Raw genomic sequence first — 25,558 nt, forward strand, 5'->3', positions numbered from 1 at the left:
AAACATTCATAGCAATATAATTTAAATAGCCAGAAAGTATATAAACATTACCTGATGAATGTAAACAAAAATGTGGTATTATTCACAGAATGAAATATATTCAGCCATAAACAGGAATGAATACTGATATGTTACAACATGGATAAACCTTGAAAATATTATACTAAGTGAAGAAGCCAGACACGAAAGGCCACACAGTCTAGGATTTCATTTATATCAATGTTCAGAAAAGGCAAATGCACAGAGAAAGAAAACTGAGTAGTGGTTGCCAGGGTGTGGAAGGACAGAATGTGGGGGGTGACGGTTAAGGGGTGTGGGTTTTTTTTTTTTTTTTTTTTTTTTTTTTGAGGAAAATGTCCTAAAATTGATTGTGGTGGTGGTTGCCCAACTCTAAATATACTAAAATTCATGGAATTGTACACTTTAAAAGGGTAAGTTTTATGGTATGCAAATTATATTGCAAAAAATTAAAAAAAAATTTTTTTTTGAGACAGGGTCATGCTCTCTTGCCCAGGCTACAGTGCTGTGGCGCAATCATGATCCCTGCAGCCTCAACTTCCTGGGATCAAGTCATCCTCCTGCCTCAGTCTCCCGAGTAGCTGGGACCACAGCTGTGCACCACCATGCCCAGCTAATTTGTAGAGACAGAGGTCTCTGTATGTTACCCAGGCTGGTCTCGAACTCCTGGGCTCAAGCAACTCTCCCACCTCAGCCTCCCAAAGTGCTAGGATTACTGACATGAGCCACCACACCTGGCCAAAAGGTAAGTTTTAAAAGGGTAAAGTTTAGGCCAGGTGCGGTGGCTCACACCTGTAATCCCGGCACTCTGGGAGGCCGAGGTGGGTGGATCACGAGGTCAGGCATTACAAACCAGCCTGACCCCCATGGTGAAACCCCATCTCTAGTAAAAACACAAAAATTAGCTGGGCACGGTGGCATGCACCTGTAGTCCCAGCTACTAGGGAGGCTGAGGCAGGAGAATCGCCTGAACCTGGGAGGCGAAGGTTGCAGTGAGCTGAGATCGCGCAACTGCACTACAGCCTGGGCGACAGAGCGAGACTCCATCTCAAAAAAAAGAAAAAAAAAAAAAAAGGGTGCAGTGGCTCACGCCTGTAATCCCAGCACTTTGGGAGGCCGAGGCAGGAGGATCACAAGGTCAGGAGATCGAGACCATCCTGGCTAACACGGTGAAACCCCGTCTCTACTAAAAAATACAAAAAATTAGCTGGGCGTGGTGGAGGGCGCCTGTAGTCCCAGCTACTCAGGAGGCTGAGGCAGGAGAATGGCGTGAACCCGGGAGGCGGAGCTTGCAGTGAGCCAAGACCGCGCCACTGCACTCCAGCCTGGGCAACAGAGCGAGACTCCGTCTCAAAAAAAAAAAAAAGGGTAAAGTTTATAGCATTATATGAAGCCAACAGCACTAAAAATATAAACTTCATAAGCCTTCCTTAAAAAGACAAGAAACATAACTGATGTTATCACGAAATAATTCATTTGTCTCACCAGAACACCCACCAAAAAAAGAGTACTTACCACTTCAATTTCCAGTAAGTTATTCTTATTTTCAAGTGTTCTCACGCGACTAGTAGCTTCATGCAAAGCACTATCTAATTGGCCACATCTAAAAACCATAAATTTAGCTTCAATTAGAAGATAAAATTATTACCCTTAAAAGTATTACATAAATCTAACCAATTCTCTAATATATAACATAAGACAAATTCTCCAGTGTTAACTAAGACTCAGGATGCCATTTTAATAGAATATAGCCCAATGAATCTAATAATATAGTATGTAGAGAAAAGGCTAAAATTGGCCAGGCACAGTGGCTCACACCTGTAATACTAACACTTTGGGAGGCTGAGGCAGGCAGATCACTTGAGGCCAGGAGTTCAAGATCAGCCTGGCCAACATGGTGAAACCCTATCTCTACTAAAAATACAAAAATTAGCTGGGCATGGTGGCATGTGCCTGTAGTCCCAGCTACTCAGGAGGCTGAGGTGGGAGGGTGGCTTGAACCTGGGAGGCTGAGGTTGCAGCGGGCTGAGATCACAACACTGCACTCCAGCCTGAGTGACAGAGTGAGAACCTGTCTCAAAAAAAAAAAAAAAAAAAAAAAAAGCCTAAAATAATTTTTTTAAAAGATATAAAAAAAAGACATGCATAAAATAGCTTGATCTTAGCTTGAAAAAAATCTGTATCTATATATATGCATTATGATTTCTGGAAAAATGCAAAAAATTAAATTTGGATTTGGGATTTGGGACTAGAGGTTGGGGTAGGGAGATTTACTTTTTTCTTTCTTTTTTTGAGACAGGATCTCACTCCATAACCCAGGTTGAAGTACAGTGGTGCAATCACGGTTCACTGCAGACTTAACCTTCTGGGATCAAGCAACCCTCCTGCCTCAACCTCCTGAGTATGCACCACCACACACAGCTAATTTGATTTTTTGTAGAGATGGGATCTCACTTTGTTGCCCAGGCTGGTCTCAAACTCCTGGACTCATGCGATCCAATTTACTTTTCATATTATGACCTTCTGTACTATTTCGAATTTAGCACGAATATAACTATTCTTATAATTAACTTCCTTTGTAAAGTTAATTATCACAGATCCTCAAAATAACAAAATACATAGAAGAATTCAGTTACCATCTTGACTCGGTGTTTAACATAGTATGAATAATAAAAGCTTTATTTATTTAGCACTGACTATACACCAGGTCTTTAAGCACGTTTCGTTTATCCTCACAATTCTGTCCATTAAGACTATCATTGGTCCCAGCCAGGCATGGTGGCTCACGCCTGTAATCCCAGCACTTTGAGAGGCCGAGGCCGGTGGATCACAAGGTCAGGAGATCGAGACCATCCTGGCTAAACCATCCTGGATAATACGGTGAAACCCCGTCTCTACTAAAATACAAAAAATTAGCCGGGCATGGTGGCGGGCGCCTGTAGTCCCAGCTACTCGGGAGGCTGAGGCAGGAGAATGGCATGAACCTGGGAGGCGGAGCTTGCAGTGAGCCGAGACAGCACCACTGTACTCCAGCCTAGGCGACAGAGACTCCATCTCAAAAAAAAAAAAAAAGAAAGAAAGAAAAAAAGATTATCATTGATCCCATTTTACAGTTGAGAAAACAAAGACAGTTCAGTTCCTCACTGAAAGTCACACAGATTGTAAGCAGTCACACTGGGAACATAAGCTGGGCACTCCTAGTTCATGATCCTAACCACTGTGCATTAATGCGGCACAGACATGAAATACTGATGAGACTATTCTTGAAAAAAAATCACTCAAATAATCAAGTGTGTGTTAATTGTATTTGACTTTTTTCAGTACTATGGATTCTAATGTGCCAGAGGATCACTGTCCCAAGTTCTAAATCCGTGACATAGTAATCTGATATCACAGCTGGCTAATGGCTCCATTTGTAACACCAGGGGGATTCTCCAATTTGCAATTTTAAGTTTGGAAAAAACCAGTGTATACACTGATAACAATGGTTTTTTATCTTGGGGGAAATCATTTCTCCAGTTCTAAATGACTGCCACGTATTTTGTTTCTACTGTCCTCTGTAACACAGCTTTTTTTTTTTTTAACCATAAGCCAGATCAAATCTTTTTTGGGAAGAGGAGAAAATAATGTACTGCTATTCATTTTACACAGTGATTACATCTACTCCAGTAACCAAGCCTGCCACTGTTATTAACTGCTATAATACAGCCATTTACTTAAAACCCTGGCTTCCAATTTGCTCCACCTATATTTGCTCATTGCCCTACACGCTCAAACATCTTCTAGTCATAAAAATGTTTTGACTGGCTATAATTTATTCTAGGTACCTTCTTTAGGACTGTTTTTAATCTTCAAAAGTTCACTGGCGGGCTTCTTTCATACTTGTTTTCCTACAGGAAGTAACTACAGTCATCTTTGCATTTTTTTTTTTTTTTTTGAAACTGAGTCTCACTCTGTCGCCCAGGCTGGAGTGCAGGAGTGCAGTGACACAATTTCGGCTCACTGTAACCTCTGCCTCTCGGGTTCAAGTGATTCTCCTGCCTCAGCCTCCCGAGTATCTGGGACTACAGGTGCGCACCACCACATCCAGCTGCTTTTTGTATATTTAGTAGAGACAGAGTTTCAATATGTTGTCTAGGCTGGTCTTGAACTCCTAACCTCTAGTGATCTGCCTGCCTCGGCCTCCCAAACTGCTGGGATTACAGGTGTGAGCCACCACACTCAGCCTCATCTTTGCCTTCTAAACAAAAACAATAATAAAAAAACCAACTTCCCATAACCTGCTATCTACTGTTTGTGTCGTAAAAAACCTAAACCTGTCTCTTTTCTTTTGGTTTGGCTCTTTTTCAAATTACTTTTCCCTACCATTGTACCCCCACACTACTAAATGCAAAATGAAAGCTGTAGAAACATTCAATAAGACAGCCATGTTAACTACCACAGCAACCAAAACTACTTACAGTATAAAGGCTAGTTTTCCCATAACTTTGAAAGTTAAACTGTTTTGTTTTGTTTTTTTGAAAGTTAAACTGTTAACCAGACGGAAGATTTTAGTTCCCTCCTAAGCTCTTTGAAGTGAGCTTTGTCTTTTCTCCTTAGAGAATGCCTTGCTATCAGCTAGACCTGCATCGATTTTCAATCTATTTAAGTCCTATTTATTTATTTAGAGACAGGGTGTCGCTCTGTCACCCAGGCTGGAGTGCAGTGGTACAACCTTAGTTCACTGCAGCCTCGACCTCCTGAGCTCAAGCAATCCTCTCACCTCAGCCTCCCCAGTAAGTGGGACCACAGGTACACGCCACCATGCCCAACTAACGTTTTAATTTTTTGTAGAGACAGGGTTCCACTATGTTGCCCAGGCTGGTCTTGAACTCCTGAGCTCAAGAGATCTGCCTGCCACAGCCTCCCAAAGTGCTGGGTTACAGACGTGAGCCACCATGCCTGATCAAGTCCCGTTTAATGGTAAAGTATGTTGCAAGGACTCTACTACTAATACTAGTAGTGAAAGCATCAGATTTTCTAAGTGATTCTAAAATAGGTATGAAGCTATCCTGAATATAAGGCCATTCTCCCCTGCATATCTTTGTGGGTTTTTTTGGAATGGGCCTATTAAAAAGGTGAAGAACTGCCACAGGACATAAGCCATAGACTTATTAGAAAGTCCATAGTACTGCTCCTCCCATCAATGACATTACTCTGCATATACAAAATTCGCTCAACTGTTTCAGTATTTTGCCCATGTGAAACAAATGGCTCCACGTCAGTTATTAGTGTATTATAAGAGGGGGGTTTAGCTTCAAAAATACTTAGGCAAACATGACTGTTAAAATTTCAGATCCAAAGTATTTTCAAAGTGTTTTCTCACATTATACTTCTGTGAAAATAATACATCCAAGGTGGAGAAAACTTCACAGCTAAATTATAAATTTTACCTGTCTACAAGAATTTGATTGGTTATCTTCCAATCTTCAACTCCAGAGATTTCTTTTGCCTCCAGCTTCTGTTTCAAACTATTTATTTCTGATTCATAATAAGCTCGAAGATCTGCTATGTGTCGAGCATGCTTTTCCTTCAGATTCTGCCTAATCCTTATTCAGTGAGAATAAAAAATATATATTAGGAAAGCTATCTTCAGTCTCCATCCCACAAGAGAAACCAAGAACACAATGATTCTCATGGGCAAAAATATAGCATATTTCCTTTGCATACTACAAAATATATAGATTAATACACAAAAAGTTAACAATCAAGTGAAAAAGTTTTTATATGCTCCATCTTAAAAATGCTAAATCTCTAAGACTTTATGCAATACTGAAGTTCAATAAAGATCATTTTCAATCAGATATCACAGAAAATCTATTAACATTACAAGCCATTCACTGAAATACATACTTAGACAATATCACAGGATCTTCCAAGGAAGTCAATGAAATGCATTCTGGGACACTGTTGGCTGTACCTGGAAGCTGGGACTGACTGACTGAGGCCGAAGCAACCATGACAGTGTTTTCTTCATCTACAGTGTTGACCGAGATATCATTACTAGTAATGGTATATACTGACGGAAACGTGGAACTGGTCCTACTTTCGTTTTGGAATGTCTGATTTTTCCAAGAGTCCACCGGAGAAGCTTTTGTGTGTGAGGGATATTTTGGAAATCCAGGTAACTGAGAAGTGACATTACTTGCTTGTGAAAATGAGTCTATGTCAGAGGGACTAGACATACTAGGCTCTAGAACAGAGTCCGGGGAAAAGGATATTCTGTCATCAAGGGCATTCGGAAGGCCGTGAGGTTGAATCCCTGAAATCTGCTGCTTTGGCTTCATGTGTAACGTAGGATCTAGAGTCAGGACCTGGAAACCAGACAACAACGAAGTCTTACCCTCAGAACTCGGCTTTGTTTTGCTTGTTTTGAAGTGAGTAGGCTTTAGATCTCCTAGGGAAAATGAAGCTTGAGGTAAAAGTTAGAGTCAGGAAGCATTGTTCACGTTCACTCGGCAGAATGTGGACAACTTTACCTCTGGTGGATGATTTGGGTTGGAAGCAGAAGTGAGATTCCTCTCAGGTAACTGCTTGTTTTCCCTTTGTTTTTTATAATAAATATCCTTCAGTGACGGTAGCTTCATCTCATTACTAGTATTAGACTTAAAGATACGAAACAAAATTAAATGGTGTTATCAATAATGAAACAAATTAATGATATCAAAATAAGCACCATAAAAAGATTTTTGAAAGACTTTAAGCAAATTGAAAATGTAGACTGTCAGATTTGTAATACAAGCTTGGAAGTCATTACCTAGTATGATGAGTCTACCTCAGAATGGAAAGATGTTTGGATCTCCTAACAATTTAGGACACTAAGGGGATAATGTGAACATTAATTATTTAGCAGCCTATGAATACTTCCAAATAATGAAATTCTTAGTAGTTCTCCCACTCAAAATAAGAACCAAGTTTTCTGGGTTTCTTTGAGACAAGGTCTCACCCTGTTGCCCAGGCTGGAGTGCAGTGGTGTGATCATGGTTCACTGCAGCCTCAATCTCCCAGGCTAAAGTGATCTTCCTGCCTCAACCTCCCAAGTTGCTGGGACTACACGAGTGCAAGACCACGCCCAGCTAATTTTTCTATTTTTTTTTGTAGAGACAGGGTCTCACCATGTTGCCCAGGCTAGTCTCAAACTCCTGAGCTCAAGCAATCCTCCCACCTTAGCTTCCCAAAGTGCTGGGATTACAGGCATGAGCCACCACGCCTAGCCAATAGCCAAGTTTTGAGGTAAGAAAATACTTCATAGGCTAGGCGCAGTGGCTCATGCCTATAATCCCAGCACTTCGGGAGGCCAAGGTGAGTGATCACTTGAAGTCGAGAGTTTGAGACCAGCCTAGCCAACATGGAGAAACCCTGTCTCTACTAAAAATACAAAATTAGCCAGGCATGGTGGCGCATGCCTGTAATCCCAGCTACAAGGGAAGCTGAGGCAGGAGAATCGCTTGAACCTGGAAGGCGGAGGTTGTGGTGAGCCGAGATTGCGCCATTGCACTTTAGCCTGCGCAACAAGAGCGAAACTCCGTCTCAAAAAAAAAAAAAAAGAAAACAAGATACTTCAGAATGAATGATAGAAGGATGAGAAAACTTTCGGCCAAATTAATTTCATATGGCTGAAGAAAAAGCACCAAGAGCTGGAGTTCCTTATCTATGTAGTTACAATCATGTTTGTTAAAAGAGTTGGCCAAACAAAACTAGGTGTCACAAAGTGACCCAATGAAAATAAGTCCCCCCCACCCATCACTTCTCAGCCTTTTGGCTAAGATCAAGTGAAAATAAGTCCCTTTATTCATTAGTAAAATAAGAAGATATGACCCTAGGCTGGACACGGTGGCTTACACCTGTAATCCCAGCGCTTTGGGAGGCCAAGGCAGGCGGATCGCCTGAGGTCGGGAGTTCGAGACCAGCCTGGCTAATATGGTGAAACCCTGTCTCTACTAAAAATACAAAAATTAGCTGGGAGTGGTGGCGCAGGCCTGTAATCCCAGCAACGCAGGAGACTGAAGTGGGACGATCACTTGAACCCAGGAGGCAGAGGTTGCAGTGAGTTGGGATCATGCCACTGTACTCCTTCACTCTAGCCTGGGCGACAGAGCAAAACTCTGTCTCAAAAAACAGAAGATAGGACCCTAATTTCGAAAAATTGAAATCAGGACCTCACTACACTAAAAATGTTGCAGAGAGGTCTAGGCTCTAAACACTAAAACTTTGGGCTTAAATTATTTCAAGGTGGGACGTATTATAGGGTGTGAGAGGAGAACCAATTAACCTTGGGCCTCAAATTTAAACTGTGAACACTGTCACAAATGAGATTACAGATTCAACAATAGATACACTGAAAACACTGAAAGAACACATTAATCATGTAGCTTTAAATTTGTGTCCCATTTCTAGACCCTACGTAGGCTGCAGAGCACCATGAATATGTATTTTTAAAACCTTGTGAGTGTGTGCATTAAAGGCATTAATTTGTTAAATCTAAACCTTTAAAATATACTGTGGTGGCTCACGCCTGTAATCCCAACACTTTGGGAGGCCAAGGCGGGTGGATCACTTGAGGTCAGAAGTTCGACACCGGCCTGGCCAATATGGTGAAACCCCATCTCTACTAAAAACACAAAAATTAGCCGGGTGTGGTGGTGCGTGCCTGTAATCCCAGCTACTTGGGAGGCTGAAGCAGGAGAACTGCTTGAACCCAGGAGGCGGAGGATGCAGTGAGCTGAGATCGCACCACTGCATTCCAGCCTGTGAAACAGAGCGAGACTCTGCCTCAAAAAAAAAAAAGTACCACAATTCCCATAATCCTGCTGTAGAATTCATTCTTTACATGCCAATAACCTAAAGAAGCCTTTTCAAGACCTGAAGCCTGTGAAGAGTAGCATTACTCCAGCTATGGCCACAGCCTGGTGGTCTGGGGGAATAGTTGGGGTTATTCTACTCAAAGCTCATGGGAATAGAAAAGTACCACTTTTCACCACTTTTATGTTCTTGTCATGTTAACATCTCTAAAGTAGGGATGCCTCTTGTAATTAATGGCATTTTATAATTGCTATTGCTTTGGGCCAAGTTGTGGTTGTGACAGACTGTCATTCCCTGCTCATGAGCTCAAAATTGGCCAAATAGGTATCAGCAGCTTGGAAGACAAACCTACACACTACAATGAAGCTCCTGAGGACCAATATTTAAGAGAACGGTGAATCAGACACGTTTAGCAACATACTCCACATGGGAGTCCAAAGCGGGCTAGTCCTACATGCTACTAAGACAGGTAAAAAGCAGAAAGGCCTTTCTATTCTTTTTAAAGAAATGCAGAATCGCTGATGCTCTTGGTGGGCTAGAGGAAGATAACGTGGGAAAACACAGAAACTAACACCAAGGTGAAGAGAGAGAAATGGCCAGGCATAGTGGTTCACATTTGTAATCCCAGCACTTTGGGAGGCTGAGGCAGGAGGATTGCTTGAGTCCAGGAGTTTGAGAGACCAGCTTGGGCAACATAGAGAGACCTTGCCTCTACTAAAAACAAACAAACAAAAAAAAAATGAGCCAGGTGTGGTTGCACATGACTGTAGTCCCAGCTACTCAGGAGGCTGAGGCAAGAGGATCGCCTGAGCCCAGGAGGTTGAGTCTGCAGTTATCTATGATGAAGCTGCTATACTCCAGCCTCGGCAACAGAGTGAGACCGTGAAGAAAGAAAGAGAGAAAGAGAGGAAGAGGAGAAGAGAAGAGAGGAGAGGAGAGGAGAAGAGAAGAGAAGAGATGAGAAGAGAAGAGTATAACACTCTGAGAAGGAAAGAATTTTAGCCACTTTTATTTCACTTATGTTTTCCTTTTTAAAGTATGCATAAGAGTTATATAATAAGCCAGGCACAGTGGCTCACACCTGTAATCCCAGCACTTTGGGAGGCTGAGGCAGGTGGGTCACAAGGTCAGGAGATCGAGACCATCTTGGCCAACATGGTGGAACCTCGTCTCTACTAAAAACACAAAAAAATTAGCTGGGTATGGTAGTGCATGCCTGTAGTCCTAGCTACTCAGGAGGCTGAAGCAGGAGAATCGCTTGAACCCAGGAGATGGAGGTTGCAGTGAGCCGAGATCACACCACTGCACTCCAGCCTGGCAACAGAGCAAGACTCCGTCTCAAAAAAAAAGTTATATAATAGGCCAGGCACAGTGACTCACAGCTGTAATCCCAGCACTGTGGGAGACCAAAGCAGGGGAATCACTTGAGCCCAGGAGTTTGAGACCAGCCTAGGCAACACAGCAAAAATCCTCTCTCTAATAAAAAAAAAAAAAAGTTACTGATACATAATAAAACCTATGTTTAAGTCTAAAGACTCTTTCCATAAGAATAAAATATAAATTCTAAAGTGGTTAAAAAAAAAAAAAAAAAAAAGCATTGTATCAGTCTAATTTATAAATTTTTCTTGGTAGAACATGAAATGGGAAACCTTAAAGTTGACAATACCGTAGAGTCAACAAAATGCAGTATCCACTTACTGATGTTCAAGATCAGATAACACTGTGAGCCCTGCAATTGCAAAGCCTACTAAGCCTGCCTTGCCCCCTACAATCTTACCCCCCTCATACTTCATTTCTCTGTGTTGACCTGTGTCTTTTTGTTCCTTTCATGAAGTACGGAACATTGGTTTCCGTCACTGAGACTCTGATGCTTACAAGTACATTGCCCCATCTGTCTGTCTGTATATGTCATTCATTTTTATGTCTCTTGGTTACTTTAATAGTATCTCTCCTTTTCCCCAGGTACTCTTTCATTACCTGATCAAAATACAGAAATGAAGGCCGGGTGCACTAGCTCATGCCTGTAATTCCAGCACTTTGGGAGGCCAAGGCGGGCGGATCACCTGAGGTCAGGAGTTCGAGAGCAGCCTGGCCAACATGGTGAAACCCTGTCTCTACACAAATACAAAACATAGCTGGGCATGATGGCAGGTGCCTGTAATCCCAGCTACTTGGAAGGTTGAGGTGGGAGAATCATTTGAACCTGGGAGGCAGAGATTGCAGTGAGCTGAGATCACGCCACTGCACTCCAGCCTGGGCAACAGAGCGAGACTCCGCCTCAAAGAAAAAAAAAAAAGAAAAAAAAAAATACAGAGGTGAAATAGGTACATTGATGTACATTTACTGAATAGTTTTATTTCTTTGCTCTTAAATTTAAAAAAAATGGGCCAGCGCAGTGGCTCACGCCTGTATTCCCAGCACTCTGGGAGGCTGATGTGGGTGGATCACCAGCCTGGCCAACATCACGAAACTCCCTCTCTACTAAAAATACAAAAATTAGCCAGGCATGGTGGCGCATGCCCATAATCCCAGCTACTCAGGAGGCTGAGGCAGGAGAATCACTTGAACCTGGAACCACTGCACTCCAGCCTAAGTGACAGACTGAGACTCCGTCTCAAAAAAAAAAAAAAAAAAAAATTTTTTTTTTAAATGTACCTTTCTTACTCAAAGAAAATCCAGCAAATTGGCCGGGCGCAGTGGTGCATGCCTGTAATTCCAGCACTTGGGAGGCCAAGGCAAGCAAATCACGAGGTCAAGAGATCGAGACCATCCTGACCAACATGGTGAAACCCCGTCTCTACTAAAAATACAAAAATTAGCTGGGCGTGGTGGCATGTGCCTGTAGACCCAGCTACTCGGGAGGCTGAGGCAGGATAATCACTTGAACCCGGGAGGCAGAGGTTGCAGTGAGCCAAGATCGCACCACTGCACTCCAACCTGGCGACAGAGTGAAACTGTCTCAAAAAAAAAAAAAAAAAGAATACAGCAAATTAAGTTGCTCATAACTATGGTGGAAATGGATCGCATAACAAATGAAAATGAATGGAGGTGTAACAAATGAAAAATCAACACCAATTCTGGGAAAAGGGGAAGAAATTAATAGCTGAGGACCTACTACATATGAAATAGTAGGCACAATCCATTTAATTTCACAAAACACTAACCAGCATTTTTTTTTTCCCTTTTTGAGACAGGGTCTCACTCTGTCACACAGGCTAGAGTGCAATGGTGTGACCTCCCGGGCTCAAGTGATCCTCTCACCTCAGCCTCCCAAAGTACAAGGATTACAGGTGTAAACTATGATGCCCAGCTCAAGCCAGCCAGAATTTTTTAAAAGTGGAATTTTTAATTCCACTTTTTTCTGTTGTTGTTTTTGCTGAGGCGGAGTCTCGCTCTGTCACCCAGGCTGGAGTGCAGTGGCACCATCTTGGCTCACTGCAATCTCCACCTCCTGGGTTCAAGTGATTCTCCTGCCTCAGCCACCTGAGCAGCTGGGATTACAAGTGCATGCCACCACGCCCAGCTAATTTTTGGGTTTTTAGTAGAGATGGGGTTTTACCATGTTGGCCAGGCTGGTCTTGAACTCCCAACCTCAGGTGATCTGCCCACCTTGGCCTACCAAAGTGCTGGGATTACAGGCTTGAGCCACAGCACCCAGCCTTTAATTCCACTTTTAAGAAGCATTGCTAAGATTACATAAGGCAAAAATGACAGACTGAATTTGAAAACAAGTGAGTATGATTCTAAAGCCCATGCTTTTTCCAGTATTTTAGAAGTTGAAAAATAAAATTTATACTGGAGTACTTAGCAACAATTGTAAAACACAAACACACACAGTTTTTTTTTTCTTTGAGATGGAGTTGCACTCTCGTTGCCCAAGCTGGAGTGCAATGGCACAATCTCGGTTCAGTGCAACCTCCACCTCCCAGGTTCAAGTGATTCTCCTGCCTCAGCCTCCCAAATAGCTGGGATGAACAGGCACACGCCACCAAGTCTGGTTAATTTTTTTGTATTTTTAGTAGAAACGGGGTTTCACCATGTTAGCCAGGCTGGTCTCGAACTCCTTACCTCAGATGGTCTGCCCACTTCAGCTTCCCAAAGTGCCGAGATTACAGGATTACAGGCCACCACGCCCAGTCCACGGTGTGTGTGTTTTGTTTTGTTGTTTTTTTTTTTTTTTTTGAGATGGAGTCTTGCTCTGTCACCCAGGCTGGAGTGCAGTGGCGCAATCTCCCCTCACTATAAGCTCTGCCTCCTGAGTTCACACCATTCTCTTGCCTCAGCCTCCCGAGTAGCTGGGACTACAGGCGCCCGCCACCACGCCCAGCTAATTTTTTGTATTTTTAGTAGAGACGGGGTTTCACCGTGTTAGCCAGGATGGTCTTGATCTCCTGACCTCATGATCCGCCCACCTCGGCCTCCCAAAGCGCTGGGATTACAGGCGTAAGCCACCGCGCCCGGCCACCGTGTGTTTTTAAATTACCTGGTTTGGTGACACATCTGTGGAAGACAATGATATGAACGTCTTCTCTAAAGTTTCAGGCAAAGAGTGGTGCATATCCTTTTCCTCTAGTTTCCAGTAAGTCAATCCTGATGTGCACAAACACACAGAATAGAAAAGAGTGAGAAAAAAACAAAAATGCTTTCTAGAATAACATTTCTACCTAAAGGAAATTAAATATGGGAAGAAATTAATTTTGGGTTAAAGTAATTTGAATTTTGATGGAAAAAAGTTATCTAAATTCCTTATTATGTAAGAGTCCTAACTGGATGCAAATGTTTAAAACTGAAATATAAAAAGTCAAGATGAGTTGGTACAATTTAAAATACATATTTTTGGCCAGGCATGGTAGCTCACGCCTGTAATCCCAGCCCTTTGGGAAGCTGAGGCAGGAGGATTACCTAACGTCAGGAGTTTGAGACCAGCCTGGCCAACGTGGTGAAGCCCCATCTCTACTAAAAATCCAAAAATCAGCCAGGTGTGGTGGCACACACTGTAATACCAGCTACTTGGGAGGCTGAGGCATGAGAATCGCTTGAACCCAGGAGACAGAGGTTGTAGTGAGCTGAGATGGTGCCACTGCACTCCAGCCTGAGTGATAGAGTGAGTGACAGAGTCTCAAAAAAAAATTAAAATAATAATAATAAAATAAATTTTTTTATTTTTTGAGACAGGGTCTCACTTTGTCACCCAGGAGTGCAGTGGTGCCATCTCAGTCCACTGTGGTCTCTTTTTTTGAGACAGAGTCTCGCTCTGTTGCCCAAGATGGAATGCAGTGGAGTGATCTCGGCTCATTGCAACCTCCGCCTCCCGAGTTCAAGCAATTCTCCTGCCTCAGCCTCCTGAGTAGCTGGAATTACAGGCATGCGCCACCATAACCAGCTAATTTTTGGTTTGTTTTTTCTTTTTTTTTTTTTTTTTTTTTTTTTGAGACAGAGTCTCACTCTGTTGCCCAGGCTGGAGTGCAATGGCACGAGCTCGGCTCACTGCAACCTCCGCCTCCCAGGTTCAAGTGATTCTCCTGCCTCAGCCTCCTGAGTAGCTGAGGTTACAGGAATGCACCATCACGCCCTGCTAATTTTTGTATTTTTAGTAGAGACAGGGTTTTGCCATTTTGGCTAGACTGGTCTCGAACTCCTGACCTCAAGTGATCTGCCTGCCTCGGCCTCCCAAAGTGCTGGGAAAACAGGTGTGAGCCACCGTGCCCAGACTAATTTTTGTATTTTTAGTAGAGATGGGGCTTCACCATGTTGGCCAGGCTGGTCTCAAACTCCTGATCTCAAGTGATCCTCCCGCCCCGGCCTCCCAAAGTGCTGGGATTATAGGCATGGGCCACTGCGCCCAGCCCAGCTCACTGGAGTCTCAACCTTCCAGGTTCAAGACATCCTCCTGTCTTAGCCCCACAAGAAGCTGGGACTACAGGCACACACCACCAAGCCCTGCTAATTTTTTTGGTACTTTTAGTAGAGACAGGGTTTGGCCATGTTACCCAGGCTGGTCTCAAACTCCAGAGCTCAAGCAATCCACCCTCCTCGGCCTCCCAAAGTGCTAGGATTACAGTTGTGAGCTACCAGGTCCAGCCTTAAAATATATTTTAAAATAGACAATTTCTTTTTTTTTTTTTTTTTTTTTTTTTCTGAGACAGGGCCTCCATCTGTCACCCAGTCTGGAGTACAGTGGTGCAATCACAGCTCACTACAGCCCTGACCTCCCGAGCTCAAGCCATCATTCCCTTTCAGCCTCCCAAGTAGCTGGGACTATAAACTCAACACCACCGCACCCAGCTAATTTTTGTATTTTGTGTAGAGACGAAGTTTTGCTATGTTGCCCAGGCTGGTCTCAACCTCCTGGGGTCAGGTGATCTGCGCACCTTGGCTTCCCAAAGTGCTGGGATCACAGGTGTGAGCCACCACGCCCAGCTGACAATTTCTTTGTGAGTAGTATAGACATACAGAATCAATGTAAATAATTCAAATGTTTATTGAGTACCTATAGTGCCAGGCTGGGGAGGCAGGAGGAGTGAGACATGAAAAGTAAGTAAATCATGCAGTATATAGGTGGTAAGCACTCTGATGAGATTTTAAAATAGGATAAAGGGGATATGTAGTGGGGGGTGCGATGGGCAGGCACTATTTTTGAATCAGGTAAACAGGGTTGGCTACTGAGAGGATAATTAAGAGGGCATCAGCCATTTTAGCCATGTATGAGGGAGCTCCCTCATACAGGGAAAAGAACATTTCAAGTATGGAAAACAGCCAATGCAAAAGTCCTAAAACCTATCTGGGACATTTGAGCAGACAATCTCCCTTCTCATCAAAGAAACGGACAGAGCACAGCCAGGCGCAATGACTCACGCCTGTAATCCCAGCACTTTGGGAGGCTGAGGCGGGCAGATCACCTGAGGTGGGCAGATCACCTGAGGTCAGGAGTTGAAGACCAGCCTGACCAACATGGAAAAACTCTATCTCTACTAAAAATACAAAATTAGCTGGGCGTGGTAGTGCATGCCTGTAATCCCAGTTTGGGAAGCTGAAGGCTGAGGCAGAAAAATCACTTGAATCTGGCAAGCGGAGGTTACAGTAAGCCGAGATCACACCATCGCACTCCAGCCTGGGCAACAAGAGCAAAACTCTGTCTCAAAAAAAAAAAAAAAAAAAAGGACAGAGTACAATCCCCAGCCTACAATGGTCGACTTTTTTTTTTTTTTTTTTTTACTTTATCATGGTGCAAAAGCGATATGCAGTCAGTAGAAACCATACTTTGAGTACCCATATGACCATTCTGTTATTCTTTTTTTTTTTTTTGAGACAGAGTCTGGCTCTGTTGCCCAGGCTGGAGTGCAGTGGCACAATCTCGGCTCACTGCAAGCTCTGCCTCCTGGGTTCACGCCATTCTCCTGCCTCAGCCTCTTGAGCAGCTGGGATTACAGGCGGCCGCCACCAAGCCCAGCTAATTTTTTGTATTTTTAGTAGAGACGGGGTTTCACTGTATTAGCCAGGATAGTCTCGATCGCCTGACCTCGTGATCCGCCCGACCTGGCCTCCCAAAGTGCTGGGATTACAAGCATGAGCCACCGCGCCTGGCTGACCATTCTGTTTTTCACTCTCAGTGTTCAATAAAGTATATGAAATAGTCAATACTTTATTATAAAATACTTTGTGTTAGATAATTTTGCCCAACTGTGGGCTAATGTAAGTGTTCTGAGCACATTTAATGTACACTAGGCTAAGCTATGATGTTTAATAAGCTAGGTGTACTAAATGCATTTTCAATTTTTTTTTTTCTTGAGACAAAGTCTTGGTATTGCCCAGGCTGGAGTGCAGTGGTGTGATCATGGCTCACTGCAGCCTTGACCTCCCAGACTCAAGCAATCTTCCCATTTCAGCTTTCCAAGTAGCTAGCACTACAGGCGCATCACCATCCCTGGCTAATTTTTTGACTCTTTTGTAGAGATGGGGTCTCAACTTGTTGCTCAAGTTGGTCTCAAACTCATGGCCTCAAGCGATCCTCATACCTTGGACTCTCAAAGTGCTGGGATTATAGGCATGAGCCACTGTGCCCAGCCCATTTTCAACTTATGATATTTTCAATTTATGGTGGGTTTATCAGGACATAACCCCATTGTAATTCGAGGAACAATTCAGTATAAAGTGAGGTCAAAGAGGTAACAGGGCTAGGTTGTTAGGCACTGTGGGCCCCTGTAAGGACTCTGTGAACAACAGGGTTTGGAGAGGAGGAGTCACATGATGTGACTTAACTTTTCAGAGGATCACTTTGTCTACTATGTTGAGAACAGACTGAAGTGTGCAAGAGTGGAAGTGGGGAGGCTGGTTAGGAAGACAGTAGCAACCCAGGTGACAGATGAGAGAACACTCTTAGGCTAGAAGCTGTGGAGGTTGTAAGAAGTGGTGCGATTCTAGAAAGATTTGTAAGGCAAAGCTAATTCATCCTGATGAATTGGATGTGGGATATGGAAAAAAAAAAAAGTCTGTATATAAGGCCATTAAGATTGGAATAAGCTCACCATGGAGTGTAAAGGATGGCTCAGAGGGTTTGAATTTAATTCATTTTGGACTACCCGAAAAAGGTTGATGATTTTTACAGCTGTTCAAAACAACTGCAAAAGTACTTCTTTATTCTCTTTACAGATCTTGTAACATAAATTAAGATAAGAAAGAAAGGTGGCTGGACATGGTGGCTGAAGCCTGTAATCCCAGCACTTTGAGAAACCGAGGCTGGTGGATTGCTTGCACCCAGGAGTTCAAAACCAGCTGAGGCAACATGGCGAAACCCTGTCTCTACAAAAAAATACAAAAGCTGGGCATGGTGACACCGCCTGTTGTCCCAGCTATTCTTGGGAAGCTGAGGTGGGAGGATCACTTGAGCCCAGGAGGCTGAGGCTGCAGTGAGCTGTGATCGCACCACTGCACCCCAGCCTGGGTGACAGAGTGAGACCCTGTCTCAAAAAACAAAACAAACAAAGGTAAGGCTGCTACCAGAGAACATCACAACACATAACACATTTACAAAACCATACTACTATACAGTATCATCCCATATGGAGAAATGTAGGCAAGTTGTTTTTTAAAAATAATGCTCTAAAAATCTAAGTACCTTCCTCTGAGTGTATGTAGTTTAGGTTAAAAAAAATAAAAATGTAAGTATCATACCTGTTCCTGAATCAGACATCCAAGCATTTGGAGTTTCATCTGGTTTACTGAGGTAAAAAGCACGAGGATGTGTAGCAGCAGCAAAATCAGACTACAAGAAAGAAAACTATTGATTGACAGCTAAAAGTCATTAGGCACAATCTGCTGACCCAAGAAATGAGAGCCAGGCCTCAAACCAGGTGGGGAGAAACCTTCAGAGGGTTCAAAGAAGAAAGCCTGGCCAGGCGTGATAGCTCACGCCTATGATCCCAGCACTTTGGGAGGCCGAGGCGGGTGGATCACGAGCTCAAAAGTTCGAAAACAGCCTGGTCAAGATGATGAAACCCCGTCTCTACTAAAAATACAAAAATTAGCCGGGCGCAGTGGCGGGTGCCTATAATCCCAGCTACTCGGCAGGCTGACGCAGGAGAATCACTTGAACCTGGGAGGCAGAGGTTGCAGTAAGCCGAGATCGTGCCACTGCACTCTAGCCTGGGCAACAGAGCAAGACTCTGTCTCAAAAAAAAAGAAGAAAGCCTGATTTCCCCATGGTTACAAGAATGCTAACTGATAGGAATTCACTGTTGCAGATTTTTTTTTTTTGCCTGTGTAATTTACAAAAGTTTATTTCGGTTCTCTGTGGAGCTGGAAGGAGAAAAATGGGGGCAGGTATTATTTCGTGAGTTCAGACCTAAAATGTATTTATAATTTGCCATTTACTTCCAAAACAAATTTGAAGTGCCTAGAATTAAAGTCATTTAGTATAAAAATTAATGTAAAAGCTCTAACAATTCATTTTTATCATAATTACAATAAATCAGATTAACTCTAAAAACCATAAATCAATAATATGAGCCTTAAGTAGTAGACTACTTCCTATATACAAACAATTGGTTAGTAGTCCCTGCTTACTTATCAATTCTAGTAAAAATTCTGAACAAATCAATCCTCACATCTCTGACACTGTCGCAAGAAATGTGTTTCCAGAGATATGTGATGAGAATATTTCTATCAGAATTTTTCTTATCAGGTCCCTCATGAAACTTTTAATTCCTGTAAAGAGTATGTAACCATCCATGAACCCATTGCCAAAGTAAAAGCACACTGAAATAACACTACCTACGAAGATGGGGAATTAACACATGAGCCTTATAAGGCACCACTTATTTTCTTTCTCATCAAGGAAGAAATTCCACCTGTTTCAATTTGTCTCACTACTTAAGACCAAGAGAAGGCCGGGCGCGGTGGCTCACGCCTATAATCCCAGCACTTTGGGAGGCCAAGGCGGGCAGATCACGAGGTCAGGAGATTGGGATTATCCTGGCTAACACGGTGAAACCCCGTCTCTACTAAAAATACAAAAAATTAGCCGGGCGTGGTGGTGGGGGTGTATTGAATGGCTTTTCTAGAGCTACCAATATAGTACTAAACGGCTTTTCTAGAATAAAACTAGCAACACAGTACTAAAGGGCTTTCCTAGACCACAGACGCTTTTGTGGTTCATAGAGCTTCATTTACCTTCACTTCCCTCCTCTTCAATATAAATCTGAAAAAGTACAAAGAATGGTGATATCAGGAAGCCTAAATTGAAGAAATAAAATTTATTGAAAGAGGAATAAATAATGCCTTATGAAGGCTGTAGGACAATCTTCTTATGACCTCTTTAATGGATCTTTTTCATAGGATGACAAAAAGACCATGTTCAGGATAAGACATGGCCAGTTTCTAAAGGTATTGGGTGTGTAGAGGGACCTGATTTTGCCATTTCAATGTGTTATACTAAACAATGCTATTCTGTGACAAATTTAGAGCAATAAGGGCTATACAGGCATATTAAAAATTATCTGGCCAGGCACAGTGGCTCATGCTTGTAATCTCAGCATTTGGGGAGGCCAAGGCAAGAGGATCACTTGAAGCCAGGAGTTTGAGACCAGCCTGGGCAACATAATGAGACCCTGTCTCTACAAAAATATATTTTAAAAAAATTTCTTTGGGCCAGGAACAGTGGCTCACGTCTATAATCCCGGCACTTTGGGAGGCTGAGGTGGTTGGATCACTTGAGGTCTGGCCAGCCTAACCAACATGGCGAGACCCCATCTCTACTAAAAATACAAAAATAAGCCAGGCGTGGTGGCACGCGCCTATAGTCCCAGCTAATCGAGAGGCCGAGGCAGGAGAATCGCTTGAACCCAGGAGACAGAGATTGCAGTGAGCTGAGATTATGTCACTGCAACCCAGCCTGGGCAACAGAGCAAGACTCCATGTCAAAAAAATAAATAAATAAATAAATAAATAAATAAAAGAAATGTTTAAAATCTTAATTATCTGAAACTCAAATTTAAATAATTTTTTAAAAAACCTTACTCAATATCTATAATCTTTTAATTAAAGTAGCTGCTAGCTTAGCAAAAGGGCCATACAGAATTTCAACATTTAATCTCTCACAATTTGGATTATAATTCAGAACTGTTCAAATTTCAACCTTTTTTTTTTTTAGACGGAATCTCGCTCTTTTGCCAGGCCGGAGTGCAATGGCGTGATCTTGGCTCACTGCAACCTCTGTCTCCCCAGTTCAAGTGATTCTCCTGCCTCAGCCTCCCGAGTAGCTGGGACTACAGGCGCATGCTACCACACCCGGCTAAGTTTTGTATTTTTAGTTAGAGACGGGGTTTCACCATGTTGACCAGGATGGTCTCGATCTCTTGACCTCGTGATCTGCCCACCCCGGCCTCCCAAAGTGCTGGGATTACAAGCATGAGCCACTTGGCCCAGCCTCAACTTTAAGATTACAGTATTACTTCTTACAATTTAATAATAATATAAATTATTTGAAAGTTTATTTTAAACAATTAAATGGATTACTCTCTGGCTAAATGTAAACATTTGCAGTACAAAGAGAAATAGGACCTCTGCAAATGATTCATTTTCATAATATTTTATCCTTTATTAGCTTTGATTTCTAGCCTACTAAAGAAGAAACACTTACAGCAAATCATTATTTCTAATCCTCTGAAACACCAAAAGAAAGATGCATAAATGGGCCGAGCGTGGTGGCTCATGCCTATAATCCCTGCACTTTGGGAGGCCAAGGTGGGTGGATCACCTGAGGTCAGGAGTTCGAGAGCAGCCTGGCCAACATGGTGAAACCCTGTCTCTACTAAAAATACAAAAAATTAGCCGGGCGTGGTGGCGGGTGCCTGTAGTCCCAGCTACTTGGGAAGCTGAGGCAGGAGAATGGCGTGAACCCGGGAGGCGGAGCTTGCAGTGAGCCAAGATTGTGCCACTGCACTCCAGCCTGGGTGACAGAGCGAGACTCCATCTCAAAAAAAAAAAAAAAAATTGGCCAGGCATGGTGGCACACGACTGTACCACCATGTACCACCTGTACCACCACAGGTGCTTGGGAGGATGAGACAGGAGAATCGCTTGAACCTGGGAGGCAGAAGTTGAAGTGAGCCGAGATCACGTCATTGCACTCCAGTCTGGGCCATAAGAGCGAAACTCCGTCTCAAAAAAACAACAACAAAAAAAATGTATAAATGAACAAATTAACAATACAAAAGAAAGGGCACAAGAGTTTTGTTCATGAGCGTGTACTAAACCCACATAATCATCAGTACTGGAGCCCGCAGGGAAAGTGACTAGTCACCTACTTTCTCAATTGGTGTCTTCTTACTTTGCTCATTTCCTTGTTTAGATCTTGAACCTCCATCTTCTACATGTGCTCTCTTTGGTTGGTTCTGCTTCAGTTTTTGTGCCCATGATGTTATAGCATTACTATTTAAGAAGAGAAAACCAAAATTACTTTTTTTTTTTGTTTTGAGACAGAGTCTTGCTGTGTCGCCCAGGCTGGAGTACGGTGGCGCAATCTCAGTTCACTGCAACCTCCATCTCCTAGGTTCAAGCAATTCTCGTGCCTCAGTCTCCTGAATAGCTGGGATTACAGACGCACTACCTCGCCCAGCTAATTTTTGTATTTTTACTAGAGATGGGGTTTCACCATGTTGGCCAGACTGGTCTCAAACTCCTGACCTCTGCCCACCTCAGCCTCCCAAAGTGCTGGGATTACAGGCATGAGCCACCACACTGGGTTCCAAAATTATTTCTTTAGATACTGTACTTCACATATAAAGCTAACCACCAGTTGCTTTCAGTTGTTGTGTGTGTGGTTTTTGTTTGTTTGTTTGTTTGTTTTTTAGAGACCCTCTCTGTCACCCAGGCTAGAATGCAGCGGCAGTGGTGCAATGACAGCTCACTGCAGTCTGACCTTCCTCAGCTCAGGTGATCCTCCCACCTCAGCCTCCCTAGTAGATGGGACCACAGGTGGCCACCACCACACCCAGCTAATTTTTCTATTTTTTTTGTAGAGCCAGGGTCTTGCCATGTTGCTCAGGCTGATCTCGAACTCCTGGGCTCAAGTGATCCACCTGTCTCAGCCTCTCAAAATGCTGGGATTACAAGTGTGAGCCACTGCGCCCAGCCAGTTGTTTTTTCTACTAGCGGTAAGACAATGAATTTTTATTAATTCACCTACATTACTTTTTTCAATTTCTTATTATCAAAGGCAAAGTAAACAAAAAGACTAACAGTGACAGGCCTGGCGCAGTGGCTCACGCCTGTAATCCCAGCACTTTGGGAGGCTGAGGCGGGTGGATCACAAGGTCAGGAGATCGAGACCATCCTGGCTAACATGGTGAAACCCCGTCTCTACTAAAAGCTACTCAGGAGGCTGAGGCAGGAGAATGGCGTGAACCCGGGAGGCAGAGCTTGCAGTGAGCCGAGATTGCGCCACTGCACTCCAGCCTGGGCAACAGAGCGAGACTCTGTCTCAAAAAAAAAAAAAAAAAAAAGACTAACAGTGACTAATAATACAAAAAGTCTGTAGCCATAGACTAGAACAAAAACCACCACATTTGCCCTTCCAAGTGCTAAATGTATCTCTACAATGAGAGTGTATTTGTTGGCATAAATCAATCATTATACTTGAACATACATAAGATTTGTGTTGCTTTAGATGACACAATTCAGGGACATGAAACTAAAAACTTGGGATAAATTATGAAATTTTTAAGGATTACTTGTTTTACAAACATTCAGTCACAGTTTAATAAAAAGCCTCCTTTGTCATGAAATGTCACTAAATTTATAAAAATTCTTCTTATACATAAAAAACATTCAGGCTGGGTGCAGTGGTTCACGCCTGTAATCCCAGCACTTCGGGAGGCCAAGGTGGGCATATGTTGTAAGACTACTAAACTCTCAGGAGTTCAAGACCAGCCTGGCCAACACGGCGAAACCCCGTCTCTACTAAAAATACAAAAATTAGCCGGACGTGGCGGTACATGCCTGTAGTCCCAGCTACTCAGGAGGCTGAGGCAGGAGAATCATATGAACCTGGGAGGTAGAGGTTGCAGTGAGCTGCGATCGCACCACTGCACTCCAGCCTGAGTGACAGAGCGAGACTCCATCTCAAAAAATAAATAAAAACAGAACAAAAGAAACAAACAAAAACATTCAGCAACATACAGACTAGAAAAAAGAAAATAAAAAACATAAAATTGGGGCCAGGCACGGTGGCTCACACCATAATCCCAGCACTTTGGGAGGCTGAGGTGGGCACGTCACCTGAGGTCAGGAGAGAGACCAGCCTGGCCAACACAGCGGAACTCTGTCTCTACTGAAAATACAAAAATTAGCCGGGTGTGGTGGCCCACACCTGTAGTCCCAGCTACTCAGGAGACTTAAGGCAGGAGTATCACTTGAACCAGGGAGGCAAAGGTTGCAGTGAGCTGAGATTGCGCCACTGCACTCCAGCCTGGGAGACAAGAGCAAGACTCCATATCAAAAAAAACAAAACATAAAATTGGGTAACCCTGTATATAATTTTTGGTTTCAGCTGGACATGGTAACATAGCACGCGCTCATAGTCCTAGCTACTCAGGAGGATCACTTGAGCCCAGGAATTTTAGGCTACAGTGAGCTATGATTGCACCACGGCACACCAGCTTGGGCAACAAAGCAAGACCCCCACCTTTAAGAAAAAAAAATTGTGGCTGGGCGAGGTGGCTCACACCTGTAATCCCAGCACTTTGGGAGGCAGAGGCGGGCAGATCACAAGGTCAGGAGATCGAGACCATCCTGGCTAACACAGTGTAACCCCGTCTCTACTAAAAATACAAAAAATTAGCCTGGCGTGGTGGCGGGTGCCTGTAGTCCCAGCTACTCAGGAGACTGAGGCAGAAGAATGGCGTGAACCCGGGAGGCGGAGCTTGCAGTGAGCCGAGATTGCGCCACTGCACTCCAGCCTGGGTGACAGAGCGAGACTCCGTCTCAAAAAACGAAAAAAAATTGTTCAAATTACATGAACATGTATGACAAACTTCCACTATTGATACAGTCCTGTCTGCTAAAAATATCTTTTCTATTTTCTGGCAAAGCTTCCGACCTTAAGAGTTTAGTAGTCTTATAACATTACAGATGGGAAGAAAGTCAGTGTCATTAGAATATAGTGTGCTTTGTTTATTTCAATTTTCTACAGGCAATGAACTGATAAATGTTCAAATACATCTCATTCTATTATAGTGCATTAAAAGGAACACTAGATTCTAAATGTAATAAACTCCCTTCAAATGATAGAAATTCTACTTACCTATTTGTTTTCCCACTGTATACTTCAGAAACCTTATTTTCACCAAGAAAATTATGTTCAAATTCACCAGGAGAAATGGATACATCTTCCTTTAAAGACACATGACACTCTTCAGGAGTCTGTATATAAAAATTCTCATTTTTCACACCATCTACAAGTGACTCAGCCGGCACCGCAGGTGCTACATACTGTCCTTTGGGAACATCTATGTGCTCCATGAACTCCTTAGGGTCTTTAGATTTGTACAGATTTAATTCTGAGATACAAAAGGTGCCATATCCACTGCTTACTGAGCAACTATCCACATTGCAGTCTGGTTGTGACGTGGACATTTCTTGCTGTATTTCAGGTTCTGTGGATTCAGGATAATGGATAACAGATTCATTTCTCTCACTGCTTAGAGAAAAAAAACCCATTTGACTTTCCGAAGATACTTGTTTGTTTGAAGAATTTCCTTCACAGGAAGCTAAGGAAGCACTACTAGTCTGTAATTTGACTAAATTTTTTATCTCCTCCTGTATATGCTGGAAATAAAAAGTTATAGATTTGGGTAAGAAAGTATATTAAACATCATATTTTTATGACTGTTACAAGAATATCATGTTTCAAAATATGATGAGATATTATTCTAAAGATAATGTGATACTTTATCTTTAGTTTATAAACAAAATTGAGGCTGGTGGCCAGGCACAGTGGCTCACGCCTGTAATCCCAGCACTTTGGGAGGCCGAGGTGGGCAGATCACAAGGTCAGGAGCTCAAGACCAGCTTGGCCAACACGGTGAAACTCTGACTCTACTAAAAATTAGCCAGACACGGTGGTGCGCATCTGTAATTCCAGCTACTCAGGAGTCTGAGGCAGGAGAATTTCTTGAACCCAGGAGGCAGAGGTTGCAGTCAG

The 25,558-nt window shown here is 43.0% G+C and overlaps 1 protein-coding gene across 25 annotated transcripts in view; it reads right to left on the reverse strand.

Moving 5' to 3' along the window:
- The window catches only part of MPHOSPH9 (M-phase phosphoprotein 9), a 91,679-nt gene that overhangs the window by 44,390 nt on the left and 21,731 nt on the right, over positions 1 to 25,558 (reverse strand). For 15 of the 25 annotated variants that reach the window (XM_017018673.2, XM_047428058.1, XM_017018677.2 and 12 more), the window contains 8 exons: positions 24,659 to 25,182; positions 21,663 to 21,786; positions 18,031 to 18,121; positions 13,343 to 13,449; positions 6,537 to 6,662; positions 5,911 to 6,371; positions 5,451 to 5,606; positions 1,534 to 1,621 (listed from right to left, as the gene is read on the reverse strand). In XM_017018673.2, coding sequence (XP_016874162.1) covers positions 1,534 to 1,621; positions 5,451 to 5,606; positions 5,911 to 6,371; positions 6,537 to 6,662; positions 13,343 to 13,449; positions 18,031 to 18,121; positions 21,663 to 21,786; positions 24,659 to 25,182 — 1,677 coding nt within the window. Of the gene's footprint in view, positions 1 to 1,533; positions 1,622 to 5,450; positions 5,607 to 5,910; positions 6,372 to 6,400; positions 6,663 to 13,342; positions 13,450 to 18,030; positions 18,122 to 21,662; positions 21,787 to 24,658; positions 25,183 to 25,558 lie in introns of those variants that run through there. The other 10 variants (XM_047428065.1, XM_047428067.1, XM_047428064.1 and 7 more) reach the window with 5 other exon arrangements.

Source organism: Homo sapiens, chromosome 12, assembly GCF_000001405.40.
Source record: "Homo sapiens chromosome 12, GRCh38.p14 Primary Assembly".
NCBI lineage: Eukaryota > Metazoa > Chordata > Mammalia > Primates > Hominidae > Homo > Homo sapiens.